Source organism: Homo sapiens, chromosome 2 (genome assembly GCF_000001405.40).
Source record: "Homo sapiens chromosome 2, GRCh38.p14 Primary Assembly".
Lineage (NCBI taxonomy): Eukaryota > Metazoa > Chordata > Mammalia > Primates > Hominidae > Homo > Homo sapiens.
This window is the reverse complement of record NC_000002.12, coordinates 143,964,186-143,989,063: the sequence shown is the minus strand read 5'-3', so window position 1 is coordinate 143,989,063 and position 24,878 is coordinate 143,964,186. Positions and strand designations below refer to the sequence as shown.

The window sequence follows — 24,878 nt, the reverse complement described above, 5'->3', positions numbered from 1 at the left end:
GGAGAGGTGAATCAGTAGGAATGTCTTAAGTTAAATTATAGCAAAAGCAAGCCACACTCATTCCCTAAGATATTTTATATACAAGTCATTTATTTCAAAACATGTTCAAGTACTGTGACCCTAAAAGGGCATCTGAAAGATGAAAGAATTAATATTTTTAATTTAGCATAAGAACCATGGTAAATGAATTTCAACTATAGTACCAAATACAAGGAACCCAAGCCATAACCATTCACTCATTCAGTTGTTCACAACACATATTTACAAGGGGTAAGGAGGTTGGCCTCCCCAGTGCCCATATATGCCAGATTGTAGTGTTTGAGCACATTCTGTGCAGCTAGACTGCCCAGTTTGAATCCCAGTTCCGTCCTTTACCACTGAACACCTTAAGCAATCAGTGTAGGCAAGTTGCTCACCCTCACTAAGCTTTAGTTTCTTCTTCTATAAATTAAGTAGAAGAATGATATCTACCTCGTAGAGTTGTTGTAAAGATGAAATGATTTAATCTAACCACTGGTCTTAGAGCAGTTCCTGATTCATATCAGAGCTATCCTGTATACATATTTGCTGCTATTATTAATCTGTGTTTCTTTAACTCAACTTAAGTTCTAAGAATGCTTAGGAGCATCAAGGAAGATGTCTTGGTCTCAAATGGCATATGGCCACATTGGTATCCTCTAAAAAGAATATTGCCCTGCCTGATTCTTGGTGATCACCTCATAGTGTTGGTGTCTTCTTGTAAGTTCCCATCTGCCCACAGGTTGCATGATTCATGCCAGTGTGCACTGCAGGGACTCCTCAGCATGACGCAGCACCACCTATGTCATGCTGGCTCTATCAGGTAACTCCTTTATCTCACCCAAGGGCTTGGAAAATGTGGTTCCTCTCCTGTTTCCATAGACCTGAGAAAACAGCAAGCTTGCTTTTAGTACTCCCTGACCCAGGCTATTTATGTTCCTCAATTGTTCCCATGCCTTGGTGGCCACAGGAGTGCCTGCAAAGCTGCTACCTCCTTGGGTTCTAGAGGAAAAGATACAAGCCATGGTCACTCTTCCATCAAACTGATTCTCCGCCACCCTGTTTTTCCCAGTTTTCAGCCTTGGGTGTCCAATCAAGAGTATCGATAACCTCTCCAACTCACCTTTCCCAGCCCACAGATTTTTTGTGTTTTTTGGGGTTGCGGGAAGTTGGGAGGGTTAGGAAGAGTGTTGAGAAAAAACCTATTTGGTATTACTCTTCAAAACTGTTGTTTAGAACTCAGCCTCAGGATTTTAAAGTAGAAATAAATAATTGTTTGTCTTCTCATTGCATTTCTGTTTAATAACCCTACCTTAAGCGCAGAGACTATACAATATCCTTGCCCTTATTGCTGGGAAGCAAGGGAGGAATGGATGTGCAAAGTAGGAAATACCAAGAGAGGAAGCACATTAAACAAATTAATACTTCAAATATTATCCTTCTACACATGTATTGATATAACTTCTTTTGAGACTTCTGCCTCAGAGAACTCCCCAGTCATTGCAGTACAACATAATAAGTGAAAACCCAGAAGAGGAAGAACTAATTCTGCCTGGAAAAGTCAGGCAACGCTTCACTGAGGAAGTGAGGATAATTGAAAGAGGGATTCCATTAGACATGTTACTTCCCAGTTCCTGAGCCACATATGTTGCAAAGGAGAATAGTGATTTAATCTGAATGTGAACCTGTATTCACGGAGTCTAGAAAGACTCAGCTAGAAATGGAAATAGTGTTTGTCTTTATGTTTCCATTTGCAACTCTAAAATCGAGATGAATAGTCTGGTGTACATGATCCCTGGTGTTTGGGGCTACACTTGGGCTGCAGTGAAGTTGGTGGCACCTTGATATCCCTAGACCCTACTTGAGGTCATAGAAAGAGCTCTCATCTCTTGTGCCAGAGCCCAGGACTCACAACTGGAGGCCATTTTAAATGTGTAACCTGTTGCAGACCTAATCCTCATTTTAAGAACCAGCCTTCAGCAAATGTGAAATGGAGGAAGTTTTTCCATAGCAGGCACTGCCCAGTTGCACTTTTATTTATTATTTACCCTCTTTTTGGTGTGAGCCCTTTACCTCTAGTCCAGGTGCCCAAAACTTCCTTTTGTTTGATATTTCACACAATTCTTACCCTCCATATACACTCATCGCTTTGCAAAATTTTCCCCTCCTGATCTTCCTTTAACCATCTGAACTTACATTCTCTTAGTGGTCTGTTAATTAGTCCCAAAAGAATAGGAGATACACACATACATGTGTATATTTTTAGATTAAAGCACAGTAATGTGTAAATTTTTGCTAATATCTTAATGTGTTATGTCCCCAAGGGTTTATGCATTTTGAAAGAGGTCCTGCTTTTCCAAAATGAAACCCAAAAAGGGAATTTTCACCTATCCATCTAACCATCTATCCATCAAATAATATTTAGGATGAACCTGCTTTGAACTAAGTACCTTGCTAAGATGGTACTACTTATACCTAGAAAAGGCTCCAGACTGAAAGAATTTCAGACACTGTAAATAGTAATAGATGTGATTTGGTGAACAATTGACTTTCCTTAGCTCTAACATCATAGAAGGTGGTGGAAGAGGGGAGCAGCCTCTCTCCTTGATTAGAATTTAGATTCCTTGAGGGGAGCGTCTCCTGTTCTCATTAATTATGAACGTATTCCAATATCTTGTACAAAGCCTGTCTGGCACATGAGGTGCTCAGCTCTCCTCCATCGAATGAATTCCTGACTTCAGGTAAGAATATATTTTTTTGAGGCCAAAAATTCTGACGAGGTAAGAGATTTTTGTGTTGTCCTGAATTTTTACATTTTAAATAATACACTGTAAAAAATAATTCCAATTAAATGGACCCTTGAGCTATACCATAATGTTTTGTTAGAGATTGTTTTGAATATAAAATTGGTCTGCCTGGCATCCTTCCTAAAGGTAATTGATACTCAAGTAAAGAGGAGACCCCTTAAAACCTCTAGTTGGTGTGGATTTATTACTGAGAACCCAATTAGCAGATGAAAACACTCAATATGAGGCATTTAATACTTACTGGTACTATAAATGCAACAAAGATATTAAACTACTAATTTCTTTAATTTAAATGGTTAAAATTGTACCTCATTTAAATACTTCCCAAATCTAAAATGTACTAACCTATGCACTAGCTTTTAAGTTTAAATAACTTTTTAAAAATATTAAAACTATGAAGATATAAAGGAAAAGTAGAATAAATACTGAAGAAACTCTATGCTTAAAAAATGAACAATTAATTTCTTAGTTCTGCTCCTTAAATACATACTGCTCTCTATATGTGAGCATTTCGCTAAAGAAAATAGCATTGTAAATTAATATAATATACACATGATACTGAATCTTGGAATAAAGTTTCTCATTTAGAAAGCATGGTACAGTTTCCATTTTTAAAAAAGAAAATATATTGTCATGAAATTTGAGTTAAACCCTTCTGGTTTCTAAAACCTTTTAAAAGATTACTTTTATTTTAAGATTTATATGGGAAATTCAACTTCCAGTGCCACTTTATTCCATGAACATGAATGAACTGCATAGTCAAAAGAAAATTATTTCTTGTACCAGCCAATGTACTTGTGTAATGCTCCTGGAAAACATGATTATTACTTCTTGCAAAAAATGGCTTATCTTTCTGATTATTTCCTTAGTACTTCATGCTCTGTTCCTCAAGACTGAAACAGGTAAAATGGGAGAGTTCCCTTGACCCTTTTGTGGGACTTGCAACAGGGCTGGCTCATTTACTCAGCCGCTGTGCTCAGTCCCTTATGGGAGGGAGCACACAAGCCAGGGGGTGTGGGAACTGGAGTGAATGAACACTGGAACCAGCCGGTTGCTTCTTTCTTGGGGAGTCAGGCTCTGTTCAGGCCCCATGGCAGCATCCAAGCATGTTACAATGCTCTTTTAGCTCTGCTGTCCAGGAGGAGGTGTCTGTGACCCCCAGAGCACCAGAGGGCATGTGTTACAATCAGTGCTCTTTTAGCATTTGCCATCTGCAGATGGCTAAGGTTAACCAGCTCAATAGAGAGTCAGGGTGACAGCCTTTTACACCCTGCCCTCTTGGTACCCAAGTTCTTGTCCAGCGTCCAGGAAGAATCAGGTAACCTGAATGAATTAAAGAGTGGTAAATGTGGAGGACTTTATTGAGTTGTGGAAGTGGCTCTCAGTGGGAAGGGGAGCTGGAAAGTGGGTGGAAAAGGAAGGTAATCTCTCCCTGGAGCTCAGCCATCCCCAGCCAAACTCCTCTCTGACCATAGTCTCCAACGTCCAGCTGCTGCTTCTCCTCTCGATGTTCAGACACTTCTCCCTTCTGTGTGTGTGTGTCCACTGAGTTTAGGGTCTGGGGTTCTTAGGGGCACAGGATAGGGAGCAGGGTGAGCCAAAAGGCAACATTCAGGTGGGAAAACAGGGGTAGTTCTTACTTTGGGCCACAGGTCCAGGCTTGAGGGTGGAGCCCTTGACAGGGACACCATCCTATTCTACCCAGTATTTCCCTGCCTCCTGTCCATATCACAGGCACAGGGAAACTCTTAGCACCAGCAACCTGCAATCCCTGTTGATTCTCTGCTAAGGAAGGATTTTTGGTCTTGCACTCAAGGAGTACCCTTCCCCTTAGAGAACCATCTGCTGACCTTCTCTGAAAATCTAAGGGTATCATCTCTCCACTTCCACCTGCACATCTATTTGTTCTTCATTATCTTTGGCAGCTTTTTCACCTCTTGTGTGATTTAGGGTTTTTGATATCTTAGTGTTCTGAAAGATGATGTTTGTACTTCTATTTCTAGTTTTTGTTGCTTCGAGGTAAGTCCTAAGAGAAGGGGAAAATAACAGTTTACTCCCCCAATTTCAGTTGTCACTTTTCTATGAAGGTGACTTGGTACAATGTTATAAATATCATGAGAAGGAATAATGAACATCCTTATCAGGAAAAGAAAGACATATTTGGTGGTAATTAACATTTGGGTCAAGTATTGATGATTAATATGAGGGTGACTGCGTTAATCATGGCTTGGTGGCTGGATTAATGGTGGCATTTGACAAGATTAGAGGTGCAATCCTGAGAAGAAAAATTCAGTTATGGACATATGTATGTTTTTACACAAATAAAAGTTTTACTTTAAATGATATTTGTAACTGTGTTATAAATAAAAATGGCGATTTACTGAGTGTTCACTACGTAATTTGCATATGTAACTCTTGATACTTTAGATGCCAGTATGTATAATTCAAGGTAAACATTAAAACCTCGGCTGGGCGTGGTGGCTCACGCCTGTAATCCTAGCACTTTGGGAGGCCGAGGCAGGCGGATCACGAGGTCAGGAGATCCAGACCATCATGGCTAACACGGTGAAACCCCGTCTCTACTAAAAATACAAAAAATTAGCCGGGCATGGTGGCAGGGGACCTGTAGTCCCAGCTACTAGGGAGGCTGAGGCAGGAGAATGGCGTGAACCCGGGAGGCGAAGCTTGCAGTGAGCCGAGATCACGCCACTGCACTCCAGCCTGGGCGACAGAGCAAGACTCCATCTCAAAAAAAAAAAAAAAAAAAAAACCTCAAAAATGACACATTTCAGTTTATTATAGATAACTGATTATAAAGTATAGCAAACTTTACTTTTTAACCAGTTATCGTGGCTATAAAACTCACTAGAAGATTCTTAAATTTCCAATTCAGTAAATGAAGAATAAAATAACAATTATGATAATAATAATAACAGCCTTTCTTTATTGTATATTTACTGTTTGCCTGGCACTGCAAATTGTTTCACATACATCATTTCACTTAATCCCCTCAACTGTTCCTTGAAGTGAATGTTATTAGATTGCTACAGATGAGGAAATTAAGTCTCAGACTGATTTGGTAGTTTGCCCTCAAGTACAGATACTAAATATGAGAACTAGGATTTGAACCCTCTTTCAACTAAGCTTTATTGTTCATGTAAACTATTTTACTTCAATTATTCTGATTTAAAAATATACATTTAAAATTGTCATATGTGAATTTATTATTGGTTTTGAATAGCTTCTTTTCTACCTGTTGGTTTATATACATCTCTAAAGCAAGCCAATTTTGTTAAAATGATCTCTCACTAAATACACTATCTAAAGTAATTGGTTATTCTCTATTATCTATTATTATCTATTCTTTTTTTTTTTTTTTTTTTTTGAGACAGAGTCTTGCTCAGCCCCACAGGCTGGAGTGCGATAGCATGATCTCAGCTCGCTGCAACCTCCACCACACGGAGGTTCTCCTGTGTCAGCCTCCTGAGTAGCTAGGATTACAGGAGCATAATACCATGCCCAGCTAATTTTTATATTTTTAGAGGTGAGGGCGTTTCACCATGTTGGCCAGGCTGCTCTCGAACTCGTGACCTCAAGTAATCCACCTGCCTCAGCCTGCCAAAGTACTGGGATTACAGGCATGAGCCACCGCACTCAGCCTCTGCTATCTATTCTTTTCTTTGCTATAAATAAATTGTTCTGGTGGCCAGGCATGGTGGCTCATGCCTGTAATCCCAGCACTTTGGGAGGCCAAGGCAGGTGGATCACCTGAGGTGGTCAGGAGTTCGAAACCAGCCTGGCCAACATGGTGAAACCCCGTCTCTACTAAAAATACAAAAAATTAGCTGGGCGTAGTGGTGCATGCCTGTAATCCCAGATACTTGGTAAGCTGAGACAGGAGAATTGCTTGAACCTGGGAGGCAGAGGTTGTAGTGAGCTGAGATCACGCCATTGCACTCCAGTCTGGGCAACAAGAGTGAAACACTGTCTCAAAAAAAAAAAGAGAAAGAAAGAAAAAAGAAAAGAAATTGTTCGATACTCACTAGCAGTAAGTATATTTAATTAATTAAGACTTTGTTTCATGAGGCTTCTCATTCTGGAGAACCTTTTCTCGAGCAGTGTAGTTAATTTATAGCACGTGATGTTATTAGAATATTCAGAATTCCTTATTCTTTTCCATGTAAGTATTTAGTCTACCTTCAGAACCTAATGTGATTAGTTCTTAATAACCTGAAATAAGGAGCCACAAAAAAACTGGGGTAACAAGGTTTGGGGCTGAACTTTTTCTTTTTGATATCATGAAAGGGACTCAGTAGAGTAATAGAGATTTATCCCATTTGTAAGAATACAGAAGAGAGGAGACATGTAATTAATTCTGTTTATAAAATGAAAAAAAATACAACATATGTAGCAACAAGAACATGTCATTCTGAGCAGGTCTTTATAGAACAGACATTCCATATTGTGTTCACCCTTGTCCACAATCATTTGCCATGACAATCTGGTATACTTAGCAGTTGCTGCTGAGTAAGGGAGACTGTCTCTTCTATGAGATCTCTGTGTCAGCCAAAAAAACACAGCAGTCTCATATGGGTCTAGAAACAAGACATAAAACATAAACAGAATGTCAGCATTTTTCTTTACGTTGGAGGGATTTCTTATTAATGACTTTGTCCATTTCTATTTTAACATTTTTAAAATCAGAAACAAGTTTCGGAATGGGTTTTTCTTCTCAAATTAAGATTCTTTCCCATCTGATTGAAGACCTTGTCATTTCTAGACATGACAAAATGTCCACAACTGAATATGAAAACCTGTTATTAAGAATTGAAATGCATTTTGATGAACGGCATATCATAATTCCAAACCATGTTTAATTCTCCATTTAAGAAAAAAAAAAACATGGTTCTTCATGTCATTTCATAGACCTATCCTACTATAGTTTTAAAAATATAAATGTCTCTATTCAGCTATCATTCATTCATTCATTCTAAAGCCGTATTTTGAATACCTGCCAACTTCTGGAGTCAGAGGGTTTCTCTGATGTGTCGGTCTTTCAGACGAATTATAAAGAGACAGCATACAAATAAATATGAAATAATATACAAGAACACATTCATGAAATCATCAGTAGTATATGAATGTTAGTGCAGGAGCAAATCAGAGTGATATGGGATTTCTCAGGGATGACTGCAAGTAACAAATTTAAAGTAAGTAGTGGACAAGGAGTGGCAGAGAAGAAAAGAGAATGTGTTTCAAACACAAGAATTGTGGGCAAAGGAGCATGGGGTTGCAAACAGCACAGAGGGAGAGGATGAGAATGATGGAAATACTTCAAGTTGGATAGGGCAGCTTAATTTCACTTTAATGGTTTCTAGTTAGTGTAGAGTTAAGAGATATCGAAGGAAAATCATGTTGGAAAGGATAATGTAACAGTCTTTTGGAAGCTGGATTGGCAGAGGGAGTCGTAAGCTCAGCGATGTTAAGATATGACGTGAAAACATTGTACTATAAAAATGGAGTTGAGCAAACAAATCTTTATTTATGAAAGAAGAAATGGCTAGGTTGGTGATAAATTGATTAGGGACAGCAGTTTAGTTTTTAAGTGTTATAAATGAGTTGTCATTGACATCAAGTGAAGATTCTCTATATTCATCTGATTACACAAATAGCAAAATACACACAGGAGGAAGGAATACAAAGATGAGACCCACAGAGACTTGATCTAGATTTAGAGTCAATTCAATTTACTAACTTTTTAGACTATGTGATAGGGGAACCAGAGGTTAAACAACAACATGACCTCTGCCCTCGAGGAACTTACAATGTAACAGACATGAATAGGTAAAACTTTAAAAATGGGTTAGTTCCAAGAGATCATGTCCTTTGCACAGACATGGATGGAGCTGGAGGCCATTTTCCTCAGCAAACTAAGGCAGGAACAGAAAACCAGACATTGCATGTTCTCACTTACAAGTGAGAGCTGAACAATGAGAACACATGGACACGGGGGGAAACAACACACACTGGGGCCTGTCAGAGGGTTGGTGGGGGAGGAGGGAGAGCATCAGGTAGAATAGCTAATGGATGCCGGGATTAATACCTAGGTGATGGGATGATCTGTGTAGCAGAACACCATGGCAACACGTTAACCTATGTGACAAACCTGTACATCCTGCACACGTACCCCTGAACTTAAAATTTGAAAAACAAAGCACCTTGTTTTGCTGAAAAAAAAGAAGAAAGAAAATGGATTAGTTCCAGAGGAGGATCAACACAATAGGAATGGAAAAAAGAGGCCTCGCTAAGAGATTTGGAATGGCTATATTTATTAGATAACAGGAAAAACAGAAACTCCAGAAAAGAGAAGTCTGAATGTTACAGAAAGAGCTAGATGTCACTTTTAGTATTGTTTGAAACATCAAAAAATTGGAAACAATTTAAATGTCCATTAGTAGGATAATTACTTTATATAAAAACTGTGAAATGTATTAGAACTATTTTAAAATGAGATATCTATATGTGCTGATGTAGATAGATGTTCTGTTATATATTTGGTGAAAATGCAATTTACATGACTGACGTTGATCTCGTTTATAAAATGAGGAAGGTATTGTAAAAATATGCTTATACAAATCTATATGTTTGCATATGCATAGAAATAGGTCTGGAAGCCTACTCGCCAAACAGTAGTTGGCAGCGGTTACACTTGAGGAATGGGATCAGGTAGGGTGAGGAGTGAGAGCTTTGAGTGCTTATTTCATGTATTTCTCAATTATTTGGATTTTATTACAATGGACACGCATTTTGTTAAAATTGAAATATTTATTAAATAATTATAGATTCACGTGCAGCTGTAAAAATGAGAGTCCCCTCTGGTACTCTGATAATACATATATTGGGTCTTCTGTTTTTATCCCATAGGTCCCTGAAGTTTGGTTCTTCTTTTTTTAAAGTCTGTTTTCTTTCTGTTGATCACATTGTATAAATTCTATTACTCTCAAGATCACTGATTCTATCCTGTATAATCCTTTCTCTACCACTGAGCCCATCCAGTGAGGGTTTTGTTTTTTTTTTTAATTCTGTTACATTACTGTATTTTTCAGAGCTGTGATTTCCATGTAATACTTGCTGAGATTGAACACTTTAGAACATGGTTTTAAGCTCCCTGGTTGTCAGAGTAAAGCAGGAAATAAGAATTATACATCTTTCTATCCAAGAGGTAGAAATACAACAATTCTTGCAAACATCAAAGAGTCTCTTAAACTGGACCTTGGGGAAATTTCTAACTAGAGGAGGTGGACTGGACTGCTGGGGCAGCTCTCAGGATAACTAGTAAGCGTTTTGAATGTATTTCCTACATGTTTCTTGGAGGAAAACAATGTTAAATCCAAATGATTAGTCAGTTTGAATTTACAGCCCCAATTACCACATTTGACAAGAAGAAACTTGATTACAGAAAATGGAAAGACTTAATAATGAACTTGGAGAGAGGAAAGTTTAGTTCCATAGAGTCTCCCCAGTCTGAGAGGAAGTAATTACATACATTGTGCTGTTTTTAAATTATGTGGGATGGTGACTGCTGCTTAAGTAACATCCCAGGAGTAGGGAAGACTCAATTCGTCTTAAGACACTTCATGGCCCACCAGTTCTTTGAGGCATGGGTTTCTACAGGCTTACTGGCCAGAGTTGCAGAGAAAGGGAATTCATTGGCAAGTTAGACAGCTGAATAAAAATGACTGTGTACAATATCCAGTGAGATTGGAAATCACTGCTGAAAAGAAACAACCTGGGGAGTCTAAGCTTTTAGCAGTGGAGGGATTTAGAAGAAATCTGTTGTGGAGTGGACCTAGTGGGAAAAAATGATTTAGTGAATATGGTTCTCACTGGGTGGCCTTCAGGATGGAATGAGTGGGAAGATTTAACTGGGGAAAAGGTCATTAGGATGTCATTGTAATACAGTATTTGGAAACCAAGCAAGGATCACATCTAAGCAAACATTACAGTCAGTGTTGTCAAAAGTAGGAGAGAGCATAACAAGCATGAGAATGAAGCAGGGCAAAGGTGGGAATTGGTTTTATTAGAGAGCACTTTCATCCAAGAAAATGAGAATGGGAATAGCAAAGCTGTAGAGAAAACCAGATGAGGAAAGAGGAACATAGCTAAGGTGAAATGATTTGTGAAAAGTCACCCAGAAACAGTACATTATTGAAAACTTTCTTGTCAATAAGTATTATCAGGTAAAGGAGTATTTTGAAGATGCCAAATACATGAATGGCGAATTGTGGAGTAAGAGTAGGATCACAGACTTTAGGAAGGAAACTGAATATGAGAAAAAAGCAAAATGGAAGATCTTAGAGTGCTCATGGACTTTGAGTTTTGAAAGACAGACACCTCTCCTTCTATTAAAAAGAAAGTTGAGAATATGAATGTGCAGATGGCATGAAACCCTGATACACATAGAATTTAATTTTTTGATAACTTAATTTCTGTATCATGGCCCATTTCAATATGATGATAGAAATCTCAAGCAGTTCAAATTCTCCGTCTTCCATTTTCCTGGTCCCCATTCCTCATGGGCCATTGCTGATGGATCCCTTGCTTCTGTCTGTCTGCCTACAGCTCTATGATCCTTCTGTGACACTCACAGAAGCCACACTTCCGCTTTTATGCCTACCATGGCTCAGGAATCTCTCGAGGCTCTTTCCAGTACTGTCTGCCTAGTAGTGACATAGACTCAGACATTCACTCTGTGGAGTCGTGCTTCTTTCTCCAGAAGCATAGTGCATGGCCTCTGGGACTCTCAGAGCTCTGTTCTCCTCTGCTCCTCTCCATCAGTCTCTTGCGTTTCTTGCCTGGAAGTGGAGTGGAGACACGGTGTAGGAGGGTGTATGCTACACTCTCATAGCATTTTGCCTACTTATTTGTACCTGTTTGAAGGGGTTTTAGCTTCTGTAAACACCAAGAAGACTGCTCCTTTTTTTTGGTTGAGGGACTTCCTCCCCCTCTCCTCCAGCCCATGTCTTTCCTGAAGCAATGAAAATAAAACATCTTACCATCTTGAATGTCTTTGGATTCACGGGAGTAGACTTGGAATAAATTGATTAAAATTTATAACATTAAAATAACTACAAATACAAAAGATGGAGAGAATGAGAGCGTATTGTATTCAGGGTGCCAGACATTTCTTCATTCCTCACAACAGACTCTTTAAATGTAGTTACTGTTACCCCATTTTAAGGATGAAGAAACTGAGGTTGCACACGGTTATATAATGTATCTGCTGGTCTTACTGGCCTACTGCTAGACAGAGGCAGAGCCAGTTCTTTCTGGACTGTCCTTTCCACCCTCCCTCAAAAAGCAAAGTTAAAGGGTGGAATGCAGTGTGAGCATTTGCAGAAAGCCACATGGATGTTGTTGGTCTTTGTCAACTCTTAAGTAAATGATGGTGAGGAGCACCTGTAGGGTTAGAGAAAGCACTGGTAGTAGCCAAAAGAGAGAAAAGAAGAGCAGGAGCAAAACAGACAGAGAAGTTGAGAAATCAGTGGCTAATGAGACTACTGTCTGAATTAACGTTCAAAGCACTATGACACACCACGTGGGAAGTAGAAGCTGCAGGCGTGGAGGGAAACCAAAGCTGATCCCTTGTGTGTCAGGCATGCAGAGAGGAGTGAAGAGTGTGTGGCCCTCGAAAGCATAGTGGAGAAGTCGGTAATTCTAACAGCTAGGACAGGGTGGTAAATAGAAGCCTCATGTTTTTGAATAAGGAGCACATCACTGGATTTGGAAGTGAAGTGCTATTTCATAATGGGAAGTAAAGATGAAGGTTAGCAGAATATTAGAAAGGTGAAGAAATTTGATACCATTGTTTTGGAGAGACCATAATTCCTTATTGCTTCTCCATATCCTTATTGCCATCTATTATCCGATGAGTTTGAACCCCAAGTAACAAGAAACTAAGGAATGTTTATGATTTAATGATCTGGAAATGTTACTATGGGCTGAAGGCACCAACTCTGTTTTTCCTCTGATTATATGTGGGAAGGAAAAAAAAAAGTCAAAAACTGCCTAAAAGAAAATGACTTCATAGGATTAGATGTAATTTCAGATGCAGACCCAGTCTCTTCTGTGTGATCTTGAAGGAATAGTTATATTTGTATGACCACTTGGTTGAGAGGCTTAAGTAAGATTATGATCAGGTGCTTAACATGGAATCTGGAATGTAACAGGAGCTCTATAAATGTAACTTGCTTTTCCTACACCTTCATTTATTCAACAAATATTTATAGAGGAGCTAATTTTATGCCACAGATAATGTGTTAGGATAGGCCACATTATGCTGCAGTAATGAAGACACTCCCCCACCCCAAATCTCAGTTGCTTAAACCCAACCCAACTATATTTCTCTCACCTACTCAAAGTCTGCTGCATGTTTAGGTGGCTTTACAGGGCAACTCTCCTCCATGTGGCAACCCAGACTGCATCACTCTTTAAAATTAATCCTCTTAACACAAGACATCTTAAGGTCCACCACAGCAGAGAAAGATGTAGCCAGAATTGCTTTTAGATACTTTCGTCTGAAAGTGGCATACATCACTCCATTGGCCAGAAGTAGTCCAATGTCCTTATACTACTGGAAGAAGATGAAGATGGAGTCTTCTGTGTGCTCAGAAAGAGAGGATGAGTGGATATTGATGAACACAAATATTATCTACCACTGCTTGGCTAGGTACTGGGTCCTTAGTAGTAAACAAAACAAGTAACATTTATCCTTTCCTGATGGAGCCCTCAGGCCAGAGTGACATGCTCCTGGGAACACTATAGCATTCATAAAGAACTAGTGTTCTGCCCAAGCAAGGGAAGAGACTAAGGAGATTGTATTCAATATGTATGAAGTTATGTGGAAAAATAGGAAAGGATAACAGTTCAGTGTAAGTGACAAGTATGGAGATCTTAGAAATCCTCAATAAATATTTACTGAATGAATGTTAAGTGACGAATAAGAAGAAATTTAGCTCTAAGAAACTAAACTGGAAAGGCAACAGAGAGAGAGAACAGATATAGGAATAAAAAACACATGGAAACAGTTTATGCTTTTCAAATGTTCTGAATAATATTTGGGAATAAAAGCTGTTCTTGCTGTATCTACTGCTTCCAGTAAGCTTGAAATATTTCTGCGTTGGTCTCTTCTGCCATAGTGGTGGTGCAGAGGAATGAATTCCCAGCCAGACTGTTTCATTCTTACCTACTCAAGAGTATGGAAATTTGTTGGGAAGCTTGGACCCTGACTTATCTTCTGGAATATTTTGTGAAGACTTAAGTTGTCTTGATTGGCAGCTGTCAAATGTATAGGGATTATAGGAAAGAAGGAATTATGCTGCTGTAAATACTGAAAATGTTACAGGGCTAAGCAAAAAAATCTAGTAATTTTATGGTAGAATATTAGTGATGGATAATTTCTTAAAAGCATTAAAGTGATTTCTATAAAAATGTTTATTAAAGAAACAATAGAAAACATGCAAAAAAAAACAAAAAGAAAGAAAGAAACATAACAACCCCTAAAGATAATTTCCATTAACTTTCGGTATACCTATGCCAAACTTTCCTAGACATACACATTCATTTGTCTTAGAAAAACAGATTACACAGATCATGCCACTCTGTCATCTCTCTTTTACTTTACAGTATTTCTTGAATATTTTTCTACTTCAAGAAGTATATTTATGCAACATTTTTTTAATGGCTGCATGGTATTGCATCATATATGTGTGTCAGAATACATTTACTTATCATTCCATTAGGTCATTTACAGATGGTTGCCATTATAAACAATGCTGCTATGAACATACTCTAGCTGAATTTCTGTGCACATCTTTAATTATTTTATAGAATAACTTTCCTAAATTGCAATACTTGGGTAAAAGTTATTTATATTTTAAGGCTTATTATTTACATTATCAAATTACCCTTTAAAAGATTGTTTCAATTTATATTCCTACCAGCAGTGGATGAGAATAAGAGTGTTTAGGAGCCCATAAATCTGCAAATATGGTTGTAGCAAATTGGGCATACTACCGTACATATGTTTAATATTGATAGCTGTTAGCAGAAAGGGGCACTCAGTATATTATCTTTAAATCCTACATTCTATGTATTTAATGCTTTATTCTAAAATCATATGTATGAGAGTTTCACATTAAATTTTCTAGAAAGGAATTTAAGACAGATTCACATAGTATGCTAAATGGGTTCATTAATGTCATAGGCTCTGGGGTAAAATCTATGGATGATCCATTAGATAGCTAGAATGAGTTCTTTACTAAACAAAATATATTGAGCTCTGCCATTGAATGTCATCCGTGCCTTGATATGTGGCTGTAGCCAAATATTTGTGTACATCTTTAATAATTGAATATTAGGCAATTTCTCATTTTTCTTTTTTTTTTTTTTGAGACGGAGTTTCGCTCTGTCGCCCAGGCTGGAGTGCAGTGGCGCGATCTCGACTCACTGCAAGCTCCGCCTCCCGGGTTCATGCCATTCTCCTGCCTCAGCCTCCCGTGTAGCTGGGACTACAAGCGTGCGCCACCATGCCCGGCTAATTTTTATATTTTTAGTAGAGACGGGGTTTCACCGTGTTAGCCAGGATGGTCTCGATTTCCTGACCTCGTGATCCGCCCGTCTCGGCCTCCCAAAGTGCTGGGATTACAGGCGTGAGCCACCGCGCCCGGCCAATTTCTCATTTTTCTAAAAAGAAAACCCCAAATTTTTTCAACTAAATTGATTATATTAAAGTTTGCATGACATAGATGAAATAAACTTGTATATTTATAATATGTAATTTACTAATTTAGACATAAATAATACTTTAAAAGCATACTATAAGTAATAATTTTTAGAAGTATTGCTCTTTTCCCACTCTTAAATTTCATGAGGGAGTTTTGGTCCAATTCCCCCTTCCATGCATTCTTGAGTTCATAATGGTGGCACCTCTTCAGGCAGCTGGCCTGTTTTCACTACCTGTCATCTGGAATCGAGTTTAAGTAGCTTGGGGTGCAGGACTTTGTGAAACTGTGTATGATGGAAATCTTTTCCCCAACTACAAAAAAAGAAAAAAAAACCCACTTACTACTTATCTCCAGTAACCACTTAACTGTTACTTTTTTGAGTGATCTTTAAAATACTTGTTTTCAGCAACATCCAGCACTTAGAATTGTTAGGTCATGTCTCCTAAAATAATTACCAACTCAATATTAAATTCGTTTGCTTCTGTTTTTACCAGTCCCAGCAAGTGAATGATTGCTAAAACCATCCAAAACTCTCATCAGTTGTTTCAGGCTAATCTATGTTCCCTAAACAGTACTTTGTTTAAAATAAAATAATTGAGACAGTGCCTGGTATTAATAAGAGAGACTTTATAAGGACTTTAGTATAAAATGCCTCTTTTTCTGACAGATAACTTTGGGAATGAAAAAATCTCACCTTACATTTGGCCATATATTACAGTTTAAACAAAAAGAGGGGATTCACACAAATCTCTTTTGTGTTCTTATGCAAAGTAACTATTGAATATGAAAGCTTTTGTCCACCTATAGGAAATAGCTAAAGAATACGGCAGGATTGTAATGCATTTATCTTGTATAAAAACACTGAGAATTGAGGTTTATAAAGCCTGCTGCTTTGAAAATATTCACATTGGAATCTTTTAAGAACTACAGCTCTACCCGATTAAACCTCCTCCCAACTCCAAACCTCATCTACTTTTACTTTAATACCAAAAATAAAAATTAAAAAAAAAACCCAGCCATATTTAAAATATAAGATCTCTTAGGTATCCATAGCCAAAATTTTGGAACTCAAAATGAAAAATTTAGAGAACTGAATGGCTAGATTTCCCTATGGTGATACTATCACTTTAAGATATATTATATTGTTTCCAATCTTTTCATCTAAGTATTTCCTAGAGAATCAGACTAAAAGAACATTGTATAGATTAGGTGGCAGCTATTTGATTGATATGGTTGAAGATGGCATATGGCATATTCTTTACTTTCAAACTGTTTTGAGTCTTTGTTCTTGCCTGTAGCAGTAGTACCTGTGAGAACTATCCAGAAACTTCCCAATGGTACATGTATGTAAAATACATCATCTTAAAAAGCAATGAACATTTCACCATTGCATTCTTTATTATTTGAACTAAATCAAACTGAGAGATATAGAACTTAAATGGCTATAGAACTCTAATTCTGTAAGATATTACAATTTCATAAGATTATAAATGCTGTTTTAAAATGTTAATTAGAAGATACATTTGTTTTAATTCATGATACTGAAAATATTGACTGAATTGTGAATTAACACATTTAGGGTTGCAGATGTCATTTTTCATGAGATTTCCTGAATGATGTAATTTTCATATTTCATATAGCAGTTTGATCAATTTACAGATTTATTTTACATAATTAGTAAATGAGAAATTCAATTGCTGATATATAACTATTTTTTCATAATGTAAAAAAGAAGCTAAAATTCTGAATTATAAATAAAAAACAAATATTTTGAAGACATCTGGTCCACATCTGTCTGAAATAAGATAATTTAAAACAGTGTAATTAAATGCAAGAAATACTGAAATATTCACACCTTAGGATGTTAAAAAAAACTCATTTCATTTTGATGTGATTTGTTTAATTGTAGAGTTTTTAAAAATGTTAGTGTCCTTTAGCCTCTCATTCTATCATTTACAAAGAAGACTGACAAGCTAAACAAAAAAAAATAATCCATGTGTTCCAAAGCCTCTACTAAATGAAAGAATTATCTTTATTACTATTCTTTTATATGGGCATAACTCCACTCCTAAGTTAATACTCAGCGGACATAGACCCAGACCTACCTCCTTTTGATGTATTTATAATTCTCCATTCAATTACTTAAAATGAGAGATTAGTGAGAGGGTCTCTAATCTCCCTAAATTGTGCGTTCCTTGTGGGCACAAAGGAGCTCAGTAAATGTGAGAGGAAGGTATTCAGACCTATGGAAATGAAAAGCATCTTTGGTACATTCTCATGATCATTGGAGAGTCAGCCTTTGAAGATTGGTCTTTTCTTACATTAAAAAAAAAAAAAAGTTTATTTTTAACCTTTGTTAAGTAGAAAATTAACCATTTTAGGGAAGAGTAAATACACTATACTTTCTGTAGTCCAGCCTTAAGATGTGAAAAGACAGATTTGTCCTTTAAGGCTGCAGAGCCTTAAAACTTCAATAGGACTAGGTTCTGATCATAAGAGACAAGTTTGTGGACATGAAAATATTGCTGATGCTATAGTGTGAAGTTATAGGAAGAAATCTCCACTTGGATACCAGAGGCTCCCCAACCAGCAGTAGACCATGAAAAAAATTGATACTGTAGGAAGTGAAACCACTTTTCCTAACACATGCCCTAAGGTAACACAAGTTATATTTTGTGTGTTTATTTCCAGGGAGCATGATAAAGATCCAGAAAGCTTTTTTAAGGTATTAATGCATCTTAAAGACTTAGGACTCAATTTCCACGTGTCTGTACTTGGAGAAACCTTCACAGATGTCCCAGGTACCTCTGTTGAATTTTCTAATGTGTATTTTTATAGATGACATAAGCTCTACAACGTAAGTATTAATTTCCATGTTTCCCTTTGTTAGAATAATCAAGATGAGCACTGTTAACCAAAAGATTATACGATGGCATTAAAGTCTGATTCAATTAAAAAAATACTTAAGTAAGCATTCTTTGATTTAAGTTGAGAACGTGAAGTCATCTCTTTGATCAAATATAGTTTATACAGTGCATCTTGATGTAAATAAAATATATTGCTTTAGGCATCTTAACACTTAAGGAAAGTGGGAATTTGTAATTGGATATACAACCTCTCACCTCTGGGGTCACTGGTTTGAATCCTGCTCACATTGGTATTGGCTGAAATATATTACCATCTGTTAGGTGGCCTATGTAAAGCATTTTGGCATCTAACTTGTAATGTGGAATGGACTATAGTCCATGTCATAGTTGTCGTTGGTCCATGCCTTGTTTATTGAACTTGAGAAAGACAAAAATCGGAAGCTGATAGCAGCAGATCCTCTCTTTATTAATGCCACACGGAGCCTTTTCAAAGAGCCATTTCCTTCACCCTGCATCCTCACAGTTCACATTTGGGTCAGTAAAATGAGGATTCATAAGCACACAAGTTATACAAGTATTCATGTCTTTTAAGCTTTGGGTGTTCAGCATTATTTGAAAAATCAAATGTACAAGCAACAATATTTCAGAAATAACCTTTGCCATTGTGCATTATGACTCCTAAGGAACACCTAAAGTTTACTTTCACTTAGCAAGTGCTTCTTGATTCTAGTACAGTGTCAAGAACTACACCCAGCCTGCATCTCAGTAGCCTTGTCTCATATGGCTCATCTTTTGCCCGCTGCAGCTGTGGATACTGACCTTTTCCCAGTTCTCCTAAGACACCAGGCTTCTTGAGACCTTTGGACGTTTGCCTGTTTATTTCTATTTTATCCTTTTGATCTCAGCTCAGGGGCATTTTCTTTCGCTGTAAAGCTTTGTCATGATTTCTCAGCACCCCATACTTCATCTTCATGGTACTTACCTCAGTTTTTAATTTATCTATGTGTAAATTTTTTCATCTCTTTCACGCGTATGCACACAAGCACACATGGCCCATACACACTGGAATGTAAATGCTATGAGGACAGGTACTGTATCTGTTGTGTTCATCATTGTACCCCAAAGCCCATTGCAGTGCTTGACACAATGATGGAGCTCAGTGAATATTTATTGGACAAATAAGTAAAAATAATGCAAACTCCCTGCTCTCAAGAAATTTATAATTTTTTTTTGAGAAGGGAACACTTATGTCTACACATAGGCAACAGAGGGTGAAACACAAGATAATATAATTATACATTATCTAAGCCACACAGGTGGTTTCGAGTGTTAATTGAAGGGCTGGTACTTGAATAGCCAGAAAAGAAGGATTAAGTTATTCCAAAAGGGGAAACAACATGGGCAAAGCACAAGAAGCCAACATTTTAGAAAATGTGATTAAATGAGAGAAAAACCTCAATGATGAGTGCTGTGAGGTCATTAAACAGAACAGGACATTCTACATGCAGACTTAGTAAGTAAGTTGGTATGTGCATTACACAGGTAGGGTAGGGCCCAAATATGGAGGAGCTTGATAACCAAAGTAGATTGGGTAAAGATAAGGAATAGGGAGCCTAGATCTTGAACAGGAAAGAAATATGATGAAACCTGTATTTTAGGAAGCTGTGTCTCGCAACGATATGTAGACAGAATCACAGTAAGACCCTCTGGTAGTAATCCCAGTGTGATCCTGTAAGGTGCTGGCAGAGAGATTAGTGAGAGGGCTGTATGAGAGGGATGTTCTCAAGGAAAGCACAGAAGAGAATTTGATAGATGGGTGGCTATACAGAAGGAAGGAAAGAAAAGATCAGCTCATTTGCAAAGCTCATAAGTTCAGTTTTGTTTGTACCAGCCTTGAGGTGTTTGTGGATGGATTGAGAAACGATGCTGGAGGAAATTCCCCCCATCAGAAGGCTTCTTAGCTGGTCTTACCACTGCGTACTTTCAGGCCACCACTACAAAGAAGACTCGGTTTTTACTCAAAAGCCTAAGTTCTGGGATTACATCTCTCCTCTCCCACACATTGACCTTGAGTTATTTAGAGCAATATGGAGGGTTGAAAATAGGGTGTGGAGCAGTTAGGGGTCCAAGTACTTAGTGCTCAGTAATTACAGGTGAGTAATTATTGCTCACTTTGGCTTCGCTTCCACACATACTTACTGAGCACTGTGGAGGGGGGATTCCACAGTGAACAGCACTCAGTTTCCCCCTCAGGGATCTCTGTCTAACTGGGATGCTGTGAAATACACAGAGAGTACTGTGGAAGCCCACAGGAAGGGATAGCATATTGTCTATACACGTGCTTCTGTTACTCCTAGTAGCAACAGAGATTTTTTTCTGCCTCAGCCACTGGTTCATCTCTACCATTTCAAATGTGAATTGAGTCTTCACGGCCATGGCACTTCATCTTGCACAGAGGAGGAGCCCAGGTGTGGAATGGATGAAAGAGCTGGTAACTTTCCAGGTTGTGCCCTTAGAAGGCCGCTTTGCTGGTCTCTACAACAAAGGCTTCCTAACAGGCCATTCTGTATCACTTCAGCCATTATTGTCACCCCTCTAGTTTATGTAACAGGTTCTTAGATAGCATTTACTGTATTCCAGGTGTTCTAAGCTGTTCATGAATATTAACTCTGTAATCCTTTATAACAATCCTGTTCAGTATTGCTACCTCCATTTTTTCCCAGGTGGAGAAACAAATAGGCCACTCAGCTAGGTAGTGCTTTAGCCACTGAGGTATACTGCTTTTTCATGTTCTTTTTTTCTGACCCAACTGTTTCTCTAACTTTAAACATTAATTTTTCCCCAGCTCACCATTCAGCATTCGTAATCTCTTATCTAGCGCTTCCACAAAAAGGATTACCTAGCTGGCATGCATTTCTTTGTCTGATGTCTCTTTGGGTACTACATTATCATTTCTGGCCAGGTGCAGTGGCTCACACCTGTAATCCCAGCACCTTGGGAGGCCGAGGTGGGTGGATCACCTGAGGTCAGGAGCTCAAGACCAGCCTGGCCAACATGGTGAAACCCCATCTTTACTGAAAATACAAAAATTAGCCAGGCATGGTAGTGCACGCGGGTAATCCCAGCAACTTGGGAGGCTGAGGCTGGAGAATCACTTGAACCTGGGAGGCACAGGTTGCAGTGAGCCAAGATCATGCCATTGCACTCCAGCCTGGACAACAGAGTGAGACTCTGTCTCAAAAAAAAAAAAAAATTATATACTATGTGATACCTAGCCAGAAGAATTACTCTTAACGCTGTTAACATTTGTAGGGATATGGTTCTCTTGCAAATAATTGCAATTATTATTATGCTATTAATAACTTCCATTAATTGAAAGTGTGCTTCTTTCTTGGCCATTTGCCTGATTATTTTATGTAATGCTCATGATACTCCCATTGAGGGTAGGTATTACCCTATCCCATTTTATAGGTAGGGAAACAGACTCTGAAAGCTTAAGTCACTTTGATTACATTGCCTATAAGTGAGTCAAGCATTTCTCTTTCACATACAAGCCAGAAGGATTGGAAAACCAAGAAAGGCTTAATGTATCACTGCAGGACCATTGATTACTCTGTTTTCAGCTTTGTTTTCTTTCCCTCTCTACAGAACTCTTGGGAGGAAAGTGGCACACCACTGAGTGATGGCATTAGTGCCAAGTTTTACTGCCCTTTCTGATGAAGCAAACAATCATCACTAAATTTCTTTTGAAAACTATAACTCAGCAACTTTGTAGAGTCTCTATACTGTTGATTGTTTTCAAGCAAAAATTATGTTGTTACAAAGTTTTTGTAATCTTTTTCCTAAAATGTATAGTAGAATTAAGAGTGTCAGTTACAATTTATAGTGCTACAGTTTATAGATCTTTTGCATCATCCCTTCATTTTACAGGAGATGAGAGATCTAGAATCAGTGACTTTCCCAAGGCCTCACTGCTGGGCGCAGTGGGTGAGATGGGCAGTAGATAGTGGCAGGGTTTGGAGTAGAACCTGGGAGTCCGTTTTCCTCAGCCCTAGTCACTGCTACATTTTTTCAATAAATGTTTTTAAAATACGTTCTTTGTTCCAGGCACTGTTGAACATTTAGGATGCAATGGTGAATGAAGTAGACATGTTCTGTGACATTTGAAACTTATAGTCCCACTCCAGTGCTTTGTTCATCACTTAATAGAACATTCCTTAAAAATGATAGAACTGACATTTCTTGAGCACATAGCATGTGCTAGATGCCGTTCTCAGCCCTTTATGCATTGCCTTATGTAGTCTTCACAATAGCCCTGTGAATTGGCACTGTTGGAATTACCATTTACAGCTGAAAAAAGTAAGGCACAGGGAGGTTAAGTCACTCGCCTGAAACCACCCAATCAGTCTACCTCAAAGGCAAGTGCTCAGCCTGTGCTCTACAGGGAAATTCACAGAATCATCCCTGTTTTACAGGTAAGAAAGCAGGAGTTGATAACGGTGAGAAATTCCTGGCCACTCATGTGAAATGAATAGGAAAAAAAAACAGTAAATATAGGGTTCAGTACTACCTACAGTTTCAGGCATGCAATAGAGGTCTTGCAATTCATCCCCTGTGGATAAGGGACAACTATTTCATTGCCTGTAATCTTCTTGCTGGAAACAACCCAGCTGGTATCTGAAGACGCATCTAGCAACTATGTCCTGGAAAGCACAGCAGATATGAAGTGGAGGTAGTCTCTGTAGAAATGGAGTTACTTATCACTTGCAGGTGACTTGGCATTTTGAAAAGCTTTTAGTGGTTTTCAACCAGAGATTCCCACCTCCACCTCCAGGGACATTTGGCAATGTCTGGAGACATTTTTGGCTGTCACAACTGTTGTGCAATGGGGTGGTGCTCCTGGCGTCTAGTAGGTAGAGGCCAGAGGTGCTGCTAAACATTCTGTGGTACACCAGACAGCCCCCACGGCAAATAATTATCCAACCTAAAATGTCAATAGTGCCTAGATTGAGAAACTCTGATTTGTGGGAATTGAACTCAGCAAACCAGGCTTGGGACTGGGTCTCTTGAAGCTTTCTAAGTTAATTCATGTTCATCCATCTGTGCAATGAAAAGGAGGAGATGGGAAAGGGAAATAATAATAAAATCACCTGCCCTATCAACTTCAGTGAGTTATAATGAGGATTTCAGCACAATTAGATAATTTGAGGGAAAGTGCTATCTAAACTACTATGCAGATTTTATTATAGGACTCATGGACTTGCCTCCAGAGTTTGTACATGGAATGAGTTTTTAATACATTTTGGATCCATAGGAGACATGAATGATCCTGTACCTTAAAAGTTCATTTTGTTTTTATTCAGAAAATTGGAAAGGTCATTCTGCTACATAAAGCATCTGCATCAGACTCCATATTACAAATGAACCAAAAAGCCTAGAAGCTCCTCAATGCAAATATTTGAGTTTTGGCCAATTCTCATGATAAGGTCACATTGTTAGCCCTTGAGATTATTAAAAAAAAAAAAAGAAGAAGAACAAAATGCTTAAGATATCAAATAAGTGGAATGTGTTTGTGTACTTAATAATTTCCCACAAATGGTAATTCTAAACAAAATATTATTTTCTGTGAACTGCCAAAGACTTAAACAAGCGTTCTTCTTTCCATGCTGCAGACATGGTGGGAAAAGGAGTTTTAGCTTTAGACATTAGGGCAGCCAGAAAGGTTACAAGGAAACCAAAAACCTGAACTATGGTTTTCGCAGACAGAAGTCTTTCTGTTTCACCTTTAATTTGAGGTTAAGAACAGTATATGGAAAGCTTCTGGTTAGTATCTGGTATGACAATGGTTATTACTATGATCTTGGCATATTTCTGGTTCTTGGCTCTGGAGTCAAATGTTGGATAATTATATAACATTTCCCTCCACTTCCATCTTCTCCTTCACTCAGCTCCCAGCTCCTGTCTCATTTTCATCAGAGCAGCTATACTAAGGGGGAAATACTAGAAAGGTTCTAGGACACAAATAACATACATCACACTAATATAAAGTTGTAAAATTTTGTCACAAGGAGAGCCTAGCAAAAGGAAAGCTACTAATGTATTGATAAATGTTGAATTATAAGAAGATTAGGCCAGGCACAGTGGCAGAGAGAGACCTTGTTGTCTCAAAAAAACAACAAAAGATAAATACATTGAGATGAAGTTAATGTACTAGTAAGATTGAATAAACTCATTTTTCTCCAGACCATACCATTCCCTAAACCTATTCCTTTTCCTTATAATTTTTTTATCATTATTCATTCCCTAACATATAATTACTTACTGAGTTCCTGTTATGGTCTAGCACCATGTAAAGTATTGTGGATACCAAGAGATGAAGACATGGTTCCTCCCCTCTGGAA

At 38.1% G+C, this 24,878-nt stretch overlaps 1 protein-coding gene across 63 annotated transcripts in view; it reads left to right on the top strand.

Moving 5' to 3' along the window:
* Nucleotides 1–24,878, top strand: part of QTMAN (queuosine-tRNA mannosyltransferase) — a 395,002-nt gene that overhangs the window by 344,006 nt on the left and 26,118 nt on the right. For 48 of the 63 annotated variants that reach the window (NR_164807.2, NR_164803.2, NR_164805.2 and 45 more), the window contains one exon: nucleotides 18,302–18,411. The exons of 14 other annotated variants lie outside the window; for them this stretch is intronic. Coding sequence is in view for 44 of the 49 variants with exons in the window: in NM_001376325.2 (NP_001363254.1) it covers nucleotides 18,302–18,411 (110 nt within the window). In the remaining 5 variants the exon portion in view is untranslated. Of the gene's footprint in view, nucleotides 1–18,301; nucleotides 18,412–20,862; nucleotides 20,969–24,878 lie in introns of all 63 variants that reach the window. One more of the 63 variants, NR_164808.2, reaches the window with a different exon arrangement.